This window comes from Homo sapiens, chromosome 12 (assembly GCF_000001405.40).
Source record: "Homo sapiens chromosome 12, GRCh38.p14 Primary Assembly".
NCBI classification, from domain to species: domain Eukaryota; kingdom Metazoa; phylum Chordata; class Mammalia; order Primates; family Hominidae; genus Homo; species Homo sapiens.
Window position 1 is genome coordinate 39,086,275 of NC_000012.12, and position 15,079 is coordinate 39,101,353.

The 15,079-nt window shown below is 38.6% G+C and overlaps 1 long non-coding RNA gene across 2 annotated transcripts in view; it reads right to left on the reverse strand.

Annotated features, from left to right (window-relative positions):
- Window positions 1-1,436: 1,436 nt before the first annotated feature.
- The window catches only part of LINC02406 (long intergenic non-protein coding RNA 2406), a 57,760-nt gene continuing 44,117 nt past the window's right edge, over window positions 1,437-15,079 (reverse strand). Inside the window, exons 1-3 of one of the 2 annotated variants that reach the window (NR_183478.1) lie at window positions 9,271-9,490; window positions 6,192-6,408; window positions 1,437-1,718 (exon numbers count right to left, since the gene is read on the reverse strand). This is a non-coding gene — a long non-coding RNA (long intergenic non-protein coding RNA 2406). Of the gene's footprint in view, window positions 1,719-6,191; window positions 6,409-9,270; window positions 9,491-15,079 lie in introns of those variants that run through there. The other variant, NR_183477.1, reaches the window with a different exon arrangement.

Genomic DNA, 15,079 nt, shown 5'->3' on the forward strand with positions numbered 1-15,079 from the left:
CACTCTTGATGTCCAGGCTGGAGTGCGCCACCACTCCCGGCTAATTTTGTATTTTTAGTAGAGATGGGGTTTCTCCATGTTGGTCAGGCTGGTCTCGAACTCCCGACCTCAGGTGATCTGCCCACTTCGGCCTCCCAGAGTGCTGGGATTACAGGCATGAGCCACCGCACCCAGCTGGGTTTCCATATTCTTGAATCATTCTTGCATACCTGGGATGAATCCTACTTGATCATGGTTAATGGTATTTTTAATGTGCTGTTGAATTTGGCTTGCTAATATTTTGTTGAGATTTTTGCATCTATGTGCATCAGGGATATTGGCCTGTAGTTTTCTTCTTTGGTTGTGTCCTTGTCTGATTTTGTATTAGGGTAATACTGTCCTCATAGATTGAGTTTGGAAGTATTCCCTTCTCTTCAATTTTTGGAATAGTTTACAGAGTATTGGTGTTAGTTCTTTAAATGTTTGAGAGAATGTGGCAGTGAAGGCATCAGGTCCTGGGCTTTTCTTTGACGGGAGGCATTTTATTACTTATTCAATTTTCTTACTAGATATTGATCTGTTCAGATTGTTCTTCTTTAAATGTTTGACAGAATTCAGCAGTGAAGGCATCGGGTCCTGGGGTTTTCTTTGATGGGAGACATTTCACTACTGATTCAATTTTGTTACTTGATATTGATCTGTTCAGATTTTCTGTTTCTTAATTATTCAATTTTGGTAGATTGTATGTATCCAGGAATTTATCCATTTCTTCTAGTTTTTCCAATTTATTGGCTTATAGTTGTTCATGGTAGGGCATCTCAATGGTGAGGCAGACTGTGTATTATAGGGATGGGGTAGGGGAAGGGGGAGAAGTTGCAGTATGTGGAAACTCCACACTTTTTGCTTAATTTCACTGTAAACCTAAAACCACTCTAACCTAGTAATTTAAAAAGGCAATGGGCTGAACTGCAAAACTCTAAAGCCTCTGAAGTATATACAGAAAACACTGGCTAACACATCCTATTAACTAAACAGGCCTGACAGCAATGTAAAAATAGGCTTATACCAGTAACAGAAAGCAAATCAGGAGGTAGGAAACACATACCAGTTATTTTATTTTTAATATAACCAAAATATTGTATATGTATGCAAATCAAAACCACAAAAAATATTTAACATGCTAATAAACTATAAACAAAATTCAGAAATAACCTAAGAAATTTAGAGAGCAAATCAGGTTAAAGTCAATTCATAATATCAAAGAGGAGCTATTACAGTGCTTTTGCATTTTAGTGTTAATTTCTCTAGGAGTGTTCTTCTGATTTCTATCAATTGGGAAAAATATCAGACAGAAATAGAATTTTTTAATAGCAAAAATAGATATTGTTTACCTCAACTCAGGACATTTTAAAAATAAAGGTGAGTGGGCTTTTTCTTACATCAAAGAGCAAAATTCATTTTCTCTGTAAGATTGTTGACTGTTTATTTTTCATGTAGTCTACTTAACTCAGCCATACCCAACCGTGCTTCTGAGCTTTACTTCTCCAGCTTTTTTCTTTTCTTTTTCCAGAGAAGGGAAAGTACATGCTGACTCTTAGTCACAGTTCAAATTCATATTTCTATTCTTCCTGTATATCCCTTGGAGTACAGAGGAAAGTTTTCTATTTCTTCGGAGAAAAGAAAAATCTGTTTTCTATTTTCTAAACCAGTGTCATCAAACAGCATTTTGAGGCAGCAAGCTGTATGAAAAGTATAAGGGAACACAAAAGGGACAAATAAAAAAGATAAAAGTCAATTAAAGAAATTCTAAATAAAAATGTGGAACATGAAAGTAGTCCATGTAATTTTCAAAAAGCATTTCATTCAAGGCTTAGAAAAAAAAAAAAGAAAGAAAGAAAAGCTCTTGACTGGCCACTCTAGACAGAAATGTGCTTCGGCCCACTGAGAGATAAAGGAAGCAATTGTCATGGCTTTGGGAATTTAGGAAACTTTTCAGATTTCTGAACCAATTCAAGTCAGTTCTTTGAAATTAAAAAAGGAGACATTGAGGCCACAGGGGAGACTTGATGAAGGAGATTCATAAAAATCAAATTTATTCACTTAAGAAGTAACTTATTGAGCATATTTTATACACTGGGCTGTTAGGATCATCAGTGAACAAAAGAGACCACCCTCTTCCTCCTAAATCTCTGCCATGGTGGAAGTTATGTTCTATTTCATGGAACACAGAAGATGAACACTAAACATAAAAGTAATTATATGTCAGAATTTGAAAATGTTTTAGGAAAAAATGGAGCAGGATAATAGTGATTGAGATACAGGTAATGGGGTGAGAGAAGGAAGGTGTGTCAGGATCTTCTTGCATTTCTATAAAGGCATACTTGAGACTGGGTAATTTAAAATAGTTTGATTGGCTCCTGGTTCTGTAGGCCATGCAAGCATGGTGCTGGCATTGCTCAGCTTCTGGGGAGGCCTCAGGGAGCTTTTACTAGTGGCAGAAGGTGACGTGGAAGCAGGCACATCACATTATGAGAATGGGAACAAGAGAGACAGAAGGGGGAGATGCCACTCACTTTCAAACAACTAGATCTCCAGAGAACTCTCTCATCACCAAGGGGATGGCACTAAGCCTTTTATGAGGGTTTTGCCCCCATAATCCAAACACCTCCCACTAGGCCCCACCTTCAACACTGGTGATTATATTTTGACATGAGATTTGGAGGGGACATCAAAAGCATATCAGACAGGTTGCAATTTAAATAGGTATGCCTAGGACATGCCTCTTTATGAAGGGGACATTTGAACACAGATCTGAAGCAAAGAAGAAGGGGGTCTTTATAAGCAGCCCGTGCAAGGTTAGAGCATCCCTGATGCATGCCAGGAGGGTCACAGTTCAGAATGTTTACAGCTACTGGGAAAAGGAGGCTTACACTTTGAAAATAAGAGATCAGTAAAAGACTAAATGCAAAAACAAAATGACAAATTCTCAAAAAGAAATGAAAGAAAGTGTAAATCTCAGAGGATTTCTGAAAGAACTGAGGAAGAGATGAGAGTTTAAATGGTCCTTGAAATGTTTTTCAGGTTTTCTTCCCACGGGAATAAATTCAATGATCATAAATGCATATAAAATTACAAAGCAGTTACAAAGATGAACAATAACATCACATCAAATGCTTAAAAAAAAGGTGCTTCTCAAGTGTGGGATACATTTTCAAATAATTCAGCCTGCTTACATGCAACATTTTCTAGCATTTGCCCCACTCATCTATTTTACAAGGAACAAGCTGCCTCTATTTCTTCTCTACATGCCTCAACTAACTAAATGTTAGCTTAATAATCCCCATAGGTCAACAAAGACTGTTCTTATCTTTCTTGCAAGTCCTATGGATACATTTCAATTGTTTTATTTTGTTTGCTTTTTGCATTTGATGCCATCAAACACAACCGCCTTTCAATTTTCCCCTCCTTTGGTTTGTCTCTTGCTTCTTTCCTATCATTTTGCTCTTTTTTCCTCCGTCAGCTCCATAAATACTAGGCTGTGTTCTCAACTCTCAGTTTTCTTCAGTACTCATTGCCTTCAACATCTCTTTTCTCATTCGTTCTTAACGCCACTCAAATCAGGTTCTCACCCCACCTTTCCACCTAAGTTACTAGGTAGTCAATAGTTCCAGTTTTCCCCAACAATCTGTTACTCCAGATATCACACTTAATAATGCTAATGCACCCTTTCATTTTTACCTGTGTTATCTCTATTTGGATGATAAAATATATGGTCTACCTATCTATGAATCCGGCTGCAAAACCCAGTGGTCAATTCTCAGCACCTCAGTTCTCCTTCTAGGTTCCAAGGCTCCCTAAGTAGCCAGCAAACTCACTGAACCCCTCGGGATATTTTAAAATTTCAAGGAAAACATATCTCTCAAATTCTGCCCAAGCTACTAGCTCAAGTTAGCTCACAATTACAATGTTAGATTGCACTGCATTCCTTTCAATGATATCGTATTTTTGCAGATCTGAGTTTCTGGTGTTTGTAATAAAAAGTTAAGGACTGTACAAAAACCAGTGTGGAATAGGAAATGAATTTGGCAGTTCTCAAACAGGTTCCAAGGTTTAGTGTTATTCCTAACAATATCCAACGGGTACACGCATCTCATTAGAAAGTAATTATGGTTATTTTAGAATAAAATTAAATATTAATTTTTTTTCTTTAAATTTGTATGTTTTAGGTTTCCAAATGGCTACTAAGTTGATAGGACAAAAATACTTATGAAATGTTTGGGGTAAGGCCACTTAATAAACAAAATTGTTATGTATTTCTTTTGGCCTAGGAGACCCATACAAAACTACCGAGACAGCCAGGGTGACATAAACTAAGAAAGGCTGGGAACCTCTGTTTTACTACTTTTTTTTTTTTTTTTTTTTGAGATGGAGTCTCATTCTGTCACCCGGGCTGGAGTGCAGTGGCGCATCTGTGTTCACTGCAAGCTCCGCTTCCTGGGTTCACGCCTTTCTCCTGCCTCAGCCTTCCAAGTAGCTGGGACTATAGGCGCCAGCCACCATGCCGGGCTAATTTGTTGTATTTTTTTAGTAGAGACTGGGTTTCACCATGTTAGCCAGGATGGTCTCGATCTCCTGACCTTGTGATCCGCCCGCCTCAGCCTCCCAAAGTGCTGAGATTACAAGCGTGAGCCACCACACCCGGCCTAGTCGTTATTGTATAAGTGACTGTCAGGCGCATTTGACATAGTTGATCCCTCATCCCTTTTCTGCTTCCTCCACGCAGCTTCCAGGAACCACACGTTCTTGGTTTTCTTTCTATCTCACTGGTCATACTTTCTCAATCTTTTTTTCTGTTTTCCACTTCTCTTTTCAATCTCTTAATATTAGAGTGCCCAGGACTCATGCCTGAGCTCTCTTCTTTTCTCAGTCTGTAATATCTTCTTAAGGGGTTTCATTCAGTCTCATGGCTTTAAATAACATCTATGTATTGGTAATTTTCAAATTTGTAAATTGAGAACAGACTTCTTCCCTGAATTCAAACTCAAACAATCCAACTACCTTCACCACATTTGCACTTCAATATGCACTAGACAAGCAAATTTAACATATCAAAAAAGTTTCCCTTACCTCCCTCTCTCTGCACTGCACTCCCTGCCCCCCAGAGCCCCCCCACCCCCACCCACCACCCTCCACTGAAACCAAAAAGAAAAAAAGAGAAATCTGCTCCATTTCAAGCTAACTCCATACTTCTCGATGCTAAGGCTGGAAAGCTTGGTCTCATGCTTGACTCTTTCTCTTAAACTCTACCAATCCAGAAACAAATCCTTCTAGCTCTACCTTCAAAATATATGCAGAATTCTATCACTTCTCTCCCTCACTGCAGTCAGCAAGTGGATCCAAGTTACCACCATCTATCTTTCTTCTGGAACTATAGAATAGCCTTCTAGCCAGTCTTTCTGCTTCAGCACTTGCCCTATTGCAGTTTATGTTCTCATAAAGCAGCCAGAGTGATGTGTTTAAACATAAGGCAGAGCCTATCATCACTCTCTACTTAAAATCCCCAATTACATCACATTTGACTCAAAGTCAAAGTCCTTAGCCTATATGGAGCCCTGATCTGAACACCTACCCTACTGTGAATTCTCCGATTTCATCTACCATCACTCTTCTCACTCACTCCGCTCAAGCCACACTGACCACCTGGTCAACACATCCCAGCCATAAACCCTTGCAGCGCCTGTTACCTCTGTTTGGAATGCTCTTCACCGAGATAAATCCTTGCGGTCTCCCACCCTCCTTCAAATCATTTTTATCTGACTATCTTGTAAACAGTGCAATCTTCACCTTGCCCCAGTCCAGCACTCCCAATTCCTCTTACCTTAGCTAACTTTATCTTATTCTACATCATTTATTCTATTCTAACATTCTGTATAATATGCTTTCATATCACAGTTATCATATACTGTCTTTCTCCAAGTTCTAGAAGCTCAGGGATTAGTGTTTTATTCACTCTCTAAGTGCATAGAATTTCTGGAATATGGTAAATATTTGTTAGTTATTTGCTAAATAGATGAAGGAATCAGCCTGTTCACTGGCAGCCATCATAACCATTTTAAAGGCTTCCACTACTATGCATATTTCCCAGTAACTTCCAAAATTATATCTTCAACCCAGAACTCTCCTGACTCAAAGAGATATATTCATCCACTTACCTGACATCTTTCCTTAGTTGTTCCAAAAGAACTTCTGATTGATTCAAATGTTTCAGAAAGACATCTTCCCCTTAAACTTGCCACATGCCCTGTGTATTAGTCAGGTCCAGCTATCACAACAAGATACCACAGACTGGGTGGCTTTATTATAAACATCTATTTATCACAATTCGGAAAACTTGAGGTCCAAGATCAAGCTGTCAGCATCTAGCCTGTCCTGTGAGGAGAGAGAAAGAGAGGGGATATTGGGGGGAGAACGAGGAAGAGAAAGAGGGAAAGAGAAAAATGTGGTGTCTCTTCCTCTTATATGTCCTCTCAGATTAGGAGCCCACACTTACGATCTCGTTTAACCTTACTTACCTCCTTAAAGGCCCCATCTCCAAACCCAGGGATGTTGAGGGTTAGGGCTCCAACACATGAATGGGGATGGTCAAAATTCAGTCTACAAGATCCTGCATTTCTTATTGTTATGAGTGAAAACACTGAGAATGCAATTAACCAAGCCAGAAACCTGACATTTATCCTCGATACCTTTTCCTTCCCCGTTGATTATATCTAATGAGGTACCAAATCCACTCAATTCTATCTCCTAAATATTTCATATCTTCCTCCGTTTCTGTGTTTCTCTACAGCCTTCCCCTAGTCAGTCCCTCATTTTGTACACGGACTATGCTAGTAGGCTCCTAAGCTACCCTCCGGCCATCATCCTCGGCAACTTCTTGCATCCTGCACACCACTGACAGATGATCTTCCTAAAACACAAATCTGATCCTATGACTCCCTGATTTAAAATCACACAATAACATATCATTTCCTAAGGATAAACTTATATTCCAGTAGTATTGCCTACAGTCTTTTCTTGTCATCTCCACCTTCACCCTTCCCACCCAGCATCCTATCCACTTCTCACTTTGTTCTCCAAGCACACCAAATCGTTTGCAATTTCCCAAGCACTCACTGCTTTCCCTGTCTTTATCCAGAGCTGTTCATACTACCTTACCAGTATTGGATGCCGTTGTCTCTCTACCAAGTCCCATTAGTCCTTGCATTATTGGCCCATCCTGTATGAAGTGTTCCTGTTTTCACAAGGAGGTCAAATGTTTGTTCTTTGTACAAGGCTTGCTTTATTAGGGAAATGAAGTATTGTATTGTAATTGCCTGTCTGCATATCTACCTCTCACTGACTCCATCCATACATACCTTGATCAACACATATTACAGATCTTTGTATTGCCAGTGCCTAGCACAGAGTGGCAGTTTACTCAATGACTGCGTGAAATGAACTAAGTCAGTGGAGTTTACTCTGGAAACTTTCTCTTCTGATAATTATTCTTCCAAAAAATCTATAATTCCTTTATTTTCCTGCCTTATTAAGAATAAAAGTAAGTGAAATTATAGTTTCCAATGTTTTTCAGTTTTTTTGCTGTTTTTTATTTCTTCTTTATATATTAATTTCACAGGGCTGTTAAAGAACCAATTAAAATCCAAATTCTTATCTTTTTCCAAGATTCAGCTCAGTGAGTTTTCAGATAATCACATCTACCAATGAAAAGACAAGTTCTCAGTGATAATATGAAAAATTGACACTGTCAGGTAAAAAAAAATTGAATGCATTTCTAAGGACATGTTGGCTTAATATTTTAAATTAATTTTGGAACATGCTAAGCATATAATATTAAACATGCATCACTGATTTTGAACTTAATACAATGCATTAAAGGGCTTTTTAAAATGTGACTTTCAGAGTGTTGTGTATTCAGTAAAAAATTGTGTGCATCATTGAACATTTACGCAATGAAAATCTTAAAGATGTAAGGAAGATAAAACTGTGAAAAAATCATGAAGATTAAAGAAACATTTCAGGAAAGACCAAATAGACTACTAGACTAGAAACTACTACTAGACTAAACACTAAAACAATTGAGAGTACAGAGAGATAGAAAGAGAAAACTGATTAGAAATGAGAAGACCAAAGCTCTGTACATAGTACAAATAGAATAAAAGTACCAGGTCAAAATAAATGAATACACACACCCTGAATAATACACAGGGCATGTGGTTTAATCTCCAAGTAAACATATCACATAGCAAATGTGTTAGAACTGTGAGTACTGCAATAAGCTGTCATACAGTCCCATCATCGTAACCACACCATCTCAAATGTTTTATTCACATTAGAAGGAAATAATTCCATATATTAATTTTTTCAACATTTGAAGTCACAAGGACAGATTTGACCAATACTTTTGCATTAGTCAGTTGTGGGTTGTTATAAAAAACAAAAACCAAAAACAAACAAGTAACAAATCTCAGTGGCTTAAGAAATAAAAGGTTATTTCCTTCTTATACAATGCAGTCCAATGTAAGGCACATATACACTGGAGTGTTAGACACAGTATAGGCAATGAATATGTAATAAAAGATTGAATGAATAAATAGAAGGAAAAGAAAGGAAGGAAGGAAAGGAAGTCCTACCTAAATTTGCTCAAACTGTATAAACCATCCCAGCCCCAATTTTCATATCTATAACATAGGATAATAGTGCTATGGGTTTTTTGTTGTTGTTGTTGTGGAGTTTTGTTTGTTTGTTTGTTTTTAGATGGATTCATGCTCTGTCACTAGGCTGGAATGCAGTGGCATGAGCTCAGCTCACTGCAACCTTTGCCTCCCAGGTTCAAGCAATTCTCCTGCCTCAGCCTCCCAAGTAGCTGGGACTACAGGCATGTACCACCATGTCCAGTTAATTTTTGTATTTTTAGTAGAGACAAGGTTTCACCATGTTGGCCAGGATGGTCTCCATCACTTCACCTCGTGATCCTCCCGCCTCACCCTCCCAAAGTGCTGGGATTATAGGTGTGAGCCACTGCGCCTGGCCAATAGTGCTATGATTAAGGGTAATCATCATGATCATCATTAAGTGTATAACATAATAAGCCTCAAAATGGGCTTGAGGATTGGTTATCAGAAAAATGGCTGATAGGAGGAAGCACTAACTTGCAGCTGCCACGTGGAGGGACAGAGCAGCAAGTGGAGACCCACATCATGAACTTTTGCTCCAAGAACTACCGCAGGAACATACCAGGAAAGCTGAGAGAATTCACAGAACTTTTGAAGGAGGTGGATTGCCACTGCAGGCTCTGTGGGACAACTGAGGAGCTGTGCTTTCTCAGCTGGGAGACTTGTGGTCTGGGGCAAGTTCTCAGCCCTGCTCACCAGTTGCCTGGAAATATACTTGGTGCTGTTGCAGGAGCACAGTAGGAGTGAGACCAGCCTTTCAGGATGCAGGCTGTGTGGGAGCTGGGTGAGGCCTGTGGCTGCTGGCTTTCCTTCACTTCCCTGGTGATCTGTGTGATGCAACAGAGACAGCCATAATCCCCTTGGGAGCATAACTACATTGGCCTGGGACTCACACCCCCACTCCCCACAGCAGCTGTAGCAAGCCCCACCCAAGGAGAGTCTGAGTTCAGACACGCCTAACCCTGCCCCCAGCTGATGGTCTTTCTCTACCCACCCTGGAAGCCAAAGACAAAGGTCATAATCTCTAGGGAGCTCTATGGCCTTGCCCCCCACCTGAGAAACTGGAATATTTATCCAAAGATGACTCTAGAGCAAGCTTGTATCCTTCTTATACAACTGCAGCTGATGCAGTCTTGAAGCACCACCTCCTGGCTGGAGGCCAGCCAACACAAAACCAGCACACTTAACAAAAATACAACTAAGGACTCTCACAGAGTCCACCTTACTCCCCTTCTACTTCCACCAGAGTAGTTGTTGGGATCCATGGCTGACAGACCTGATAACAGGTCACATCACAGGGCTCTTTGCAGACACTCCCCAATACCAGCCTGGAGCCTGATACCTCCGCTGGGTAGCTAGATCCAGAGGAGAAATAACAGTAACTGCAGTTCAGCTCTCAAGAAGCCCCATGCCTAGGGGAAAGAGGAGTGCACCACATCAAGGGAACACCCCCGTGGGACAAAAGAATCTGAGCAGCAGCCCTTGAGTCCCAGATCTTCCCTCTGAAATAGTCTACACAAATGAGAAAGAACTAGAAAAATAATTCTGGTAATGTGACAAACAAGGTTCTTTAACACCCCCAGAAAATCATACTAGCTCACCAGCAATGGATCCAAACCAAGTAGAAATCTCTGAATTGCCAGAAAAAAAACACTCAAAAGGTTGATTATTAAGGCAATCAAGGAGGCATCAGAGAAAGGTAGAGTATAACTTAAAAAAATATATATATATATAAGATATGAATGGAAAAATCTCTAGTAAAATAGATAGCATAAGTAAAAAAAAAATCACAACTTCTGGAAATCAAAGACACACTTTGAGAAATGCAAAATGCACTGGAAAGTCAGCAACAGAATCAAACAAGTAGAAGAAAGAACTTCAGAGTTCAAAGATAAGGCTTTTGAATTAACCCAATCCAACAAAAACAAACAAAAAATAATTTTAAAAAAATGAACAAAGCCTCCAAGAAGTGTGGGATTATGTTAAACGAGCAAACCTAAGAATAATTGGTGTTCCTGAGGAGAACGAGAAATCTGAAAGTTTGGAAAACACATTTGAGGGAATAATTGAGGAAAACTTTCCCAGTCTTGCTAGAGATCTAGACATTCAAACACAAGAAGCTCAAAGAACACCTTGGAAATGTATTGCAAAAAGATCATCGCCTAGGCACGTTGTCATCAGGTTATCTAAAGTCAAAACGAAGGAAAGAATCTTAAGAACTGTGAGGCAAAGGCATCAGTAACCTATAAAGAAAAATTTGTCAGATTAACAGCAGATTTTTCAGCAGAAACCCTACAAGCTAGAAGGGACTGGGGTCCTATCTTTTAGCCTCCTTAAACAAAACAATTATAAGACAAGAATTTTGTATCCAGTGAAACTAAGCTTCATAAATGAAGGAAAGATACAGTCTTTTGTAGACAAACAAATGCTGAGAAAATTCACCACTACCAAGCCAGCACTACAAGAACTGCTAAAAGGAGTTCTAAATCTTGAAACAAATCCTAGAAATACATCAAAATAGAATTTCCTTAAAGTATACATCTCAAGGGACCTATAAAACAATCACACAATAAAAAAAATCCAAAGTATTCAGGCAACAATCACAGTGAATAGAATAGTACCTCACATCTCAATACAGATATTGAATGTAAATGGCCTAAATACTCCACTTAAAAGATACAAAGGCTGGGTGCGGTGGCTCACCCCTGTTATCTCAACACTTTTGGAGGCTGAGTCAAGTAGGTCATGAGGTCAGGAGATTGAGACCATCCTGGCTAACACAGTGAAACCCCATCTCTTCTAGAAATACAAAATTAGCCAGGCATGGTGGCACGCACCTGTAGTCCCAGCTACTCGGGAGGGTGAGGTAGGAGAATCGCTTAAACCTGGGAGGCAGAGATTGCAGTAAGCCAAGATTGTGCCCCTGCACTCCAGCCTGGGCAACAGAGCAAGACTCCATCTCAAAAAAAAAAAAAAAAAAGATACAGAATGGCAGAATGGATTAGAAGTCACCAACCAAGTATCTGCTGTCTTTGGGAGACTTACCTGACACATAAGGACTCACATAAACTTAAGGTAAAGGGTGAAAAAAGATATTCCATGCCAATGGACACCAAAAGCAAGCAGGAGTAACCATTCTTAGATCAGACAAAACAAACTTTAAAGCAACAGCAGTTAAAAAAGACAAAGAGGGACATTATGTGATGACAAAAGGACTCGTCTAACAGCAAAATATCACAGTCCTAAATATATATGCACCTAATACTGGAGCTCCCAAATTTATAAAACAATTACTACTAGACCTAAGGAATGAGATAGATGGCAACACAATAATAGTGGGAGATTTCAATACTCCACTGACAGCACTAGGCAGATCATCAAGACAGAAATTCAACAAAGGAACAATGGACTTAAACTATATCCTAGAACAAATGGACTTAACAGATATTTACAGAACACTCTACCCAACAACTGCAGAATATACATTCTATTCATCAGCACATGAACATTCTCCAAGATAGACCATATAATAGGCCACAAAACAAGTTTCAACAAATTTAAGAAAAATTGAAATTATATCAAGAACTCTCTCAGACCACAGTGGAATAAAATTGGAAATCAACTTCAAAAAGAACCCTCGAAACCATGCAAATACATGGAAACTAAATGTCTGCTCCTGAATGATTGTTAGATTAACAATGAAATCAAGATGAAAACTTAAAAATTATTTGAACTGAGCAATAACAGTGACACAATCTATCAAAACCTCTGGAATACAGCAAAGCAATACTAAAAGGAAAGTTCATAGCATTAAATGCCTACATCAAAAAGTCTGAAAGATCACAAATAAACAATCTGAGGTCACACTTCAAGGAATTAAAGAAGCAAGAACAAATGAAACCCAAACCCAGCAGATGAAAAGAAATAACCAAGATTAGAAGAGAACTACATGAAATTGAAACAAAAAATACCAAAGACAAACAAAATAAAAGTTGGTTCTTTGAAAGGATAAATAAAATTGATAGCTCATTAGTGAGATTAACCAGGAAAAGAAGAGAGAAGATCCAAATAAGCTCAACTAGAAACAAAATGGGAGATATTACAACTGATACCACAGAAATACAAAAGATCATTAAAGGCTACTATGAACACCTTTACATGCATAAACTAGAAAATCTAGAGGAGATGAATAAATTCCTGGAAATATACAACCCTCATAGATTAAACCAGGAAGAAATAGAAACTGTGAACAAACCAATAACAAGAAGCTAGACTGAAATGATAGTTAAAAAGTTACCAACAAAAAAAAGGCCAATACCAGATGGATTCACAATTGAATTCTGTCAGACATGCAAAAAAAGAGTTAGTAACAATCCTATTGACACTATTCCAAAAGATAGAGAAAGAGAGAATCCTCTCCAAATCATTCTATGAAGCCAATATCACCCTCCTACCAAAACCAGGAAAGAATATAACAAAAAAAGAAAACTACAGACCAATATCTCTGATGAACATAGATGCAAAAATATTCAAAAAAATATTAGCTAACAGAATAAAACAGCAGATCAAACAGAAAATCCACCATGATCAAGTGGGTTTCATACTAGGGATGCAGGGATGGTTTAACATCAGCAAGTCAATAAATGTGATACACCACATAAACAGAATTAAAAACAAAAATCACATGATTATCTCAATAGATGCAGAAAAAGCATTTGAAAAAATCCAGCATCCCTTAATGATTAAAACTCTCAGCAGAATCGGCATAGAGGGAACATACCTTAAGGTAATAAAAGCCATCTATGACAAACCCACAGCCAACATTATACTGAACAGAGAAAAGCTGAAAGCATTCCTTCTGAGAACTGGAACAAAAGAAGAATGCCCACTTTCACCACTTCTATTCAACGTAGTACTGCAAGTCCTAGCCAGAGCAATCAGACAAGAGAAAGAAAGGGCATCCAAATCGGTAATGAGGAAGTCAAACTGTCGCTGGTTGCTAGTGATATGATTGTATACCTAGAAAACCCTAAAGACTCATCCAAAAAGACCCTGGAACTGGTAAATGAATTCAGCAAAGTTTCAGGTTACAAAATTAATATACACAAATCAGTTGCTCTGCTATATACCAACATGTACCAAGCTGAGAATCAAATCAAGAACTCAATCTCTTTTACAATAGCTGCAAGAAATAAAATACTTAGGAATATGCTTAACCAAGGCGGTGAAAGACTTCTACAAGGAAAACTACAAAACACTGCTGAAAGAAATGATACACAACACAAACAAATGGAAACACACCCTATGCTCATGGATGGGCAGAATCAATATTGTGAAAATGACCATACTGCCAAAAGCAATCTACAAATTCAATAAAATTTCCATCAAAATACCACCATCATTCTTCACAGAATTAGAAAAAACAATCCTAAAATTCATGTGGAACAAAAAAAGAGCCTGCATAGTCAAAGCAAGGCTAAGCAAAAAGAACAAATCTGGAGGCATTACAACACCCAACTTCAAACTATACTATAAGGCCATATTCACCAAAATAGCATGGTACTGGCATAAAAATAGGCATATAGACAAATGGAACAGAATAGAGAACCCAGAAATAAAGCCAAATACTTACAATCATCTGATCTTTGACAAAGCAAACAAAACCAAAGTGTGGAAAGGCCACCCTATTTAACAAATGGTATTAGGATAATTGGCAAGTCACAGGTAGAAGAATGAAGCTGGATCCTCATCTCACCCTATGCAAAAATCAACTCAATATGAATCAAAGACTTAAATCTAAGACCTGAAACCATAAAAATTGTGGAAGATAACATTAAAAAAACCCTTCTAGACATGGCTTAGGCAAAGACTTCATGACCAAGAACCCAAAAGCAAATGCAACAAAAACAAACATAAATAGATGGGATTTCATTAAAGTAAAAAGCTTCTGGCTGGGCACAGTGGCTCACACCTGTAATCTCAGCACTTTGAGAGGCTGAGGCAGGTGGATCACGAGGTCTTGAGATCGAGATCATCCTGGCCAACGTGGTGAAATCCGTCCCTATTAAAAATACAAAAATTAACTGGGCGTGGTGGTGCGCACCTGTAGTCCCAGTTACTCAGGAGGCTGAGGCAAGAGAATCGCTTGAACCCAGGAGGTGGAGGTTGCAGTGAGTCAAGATCACATCACTGCATTCCAGCCTAGGAGGCAGAGCAAGACTCTGTCTCCAAAAAAAAAAAAAAAAAAAAAAAAACTTTTGCACAGCAAAAGAAACAATCAGCAGAGTAAGCAGAGAACCCACAGAGTAGGACAAAAATCTTTGCAATCTATAACACCCAAAAAAGGACTAATATGCAGAATCTACCAGGAA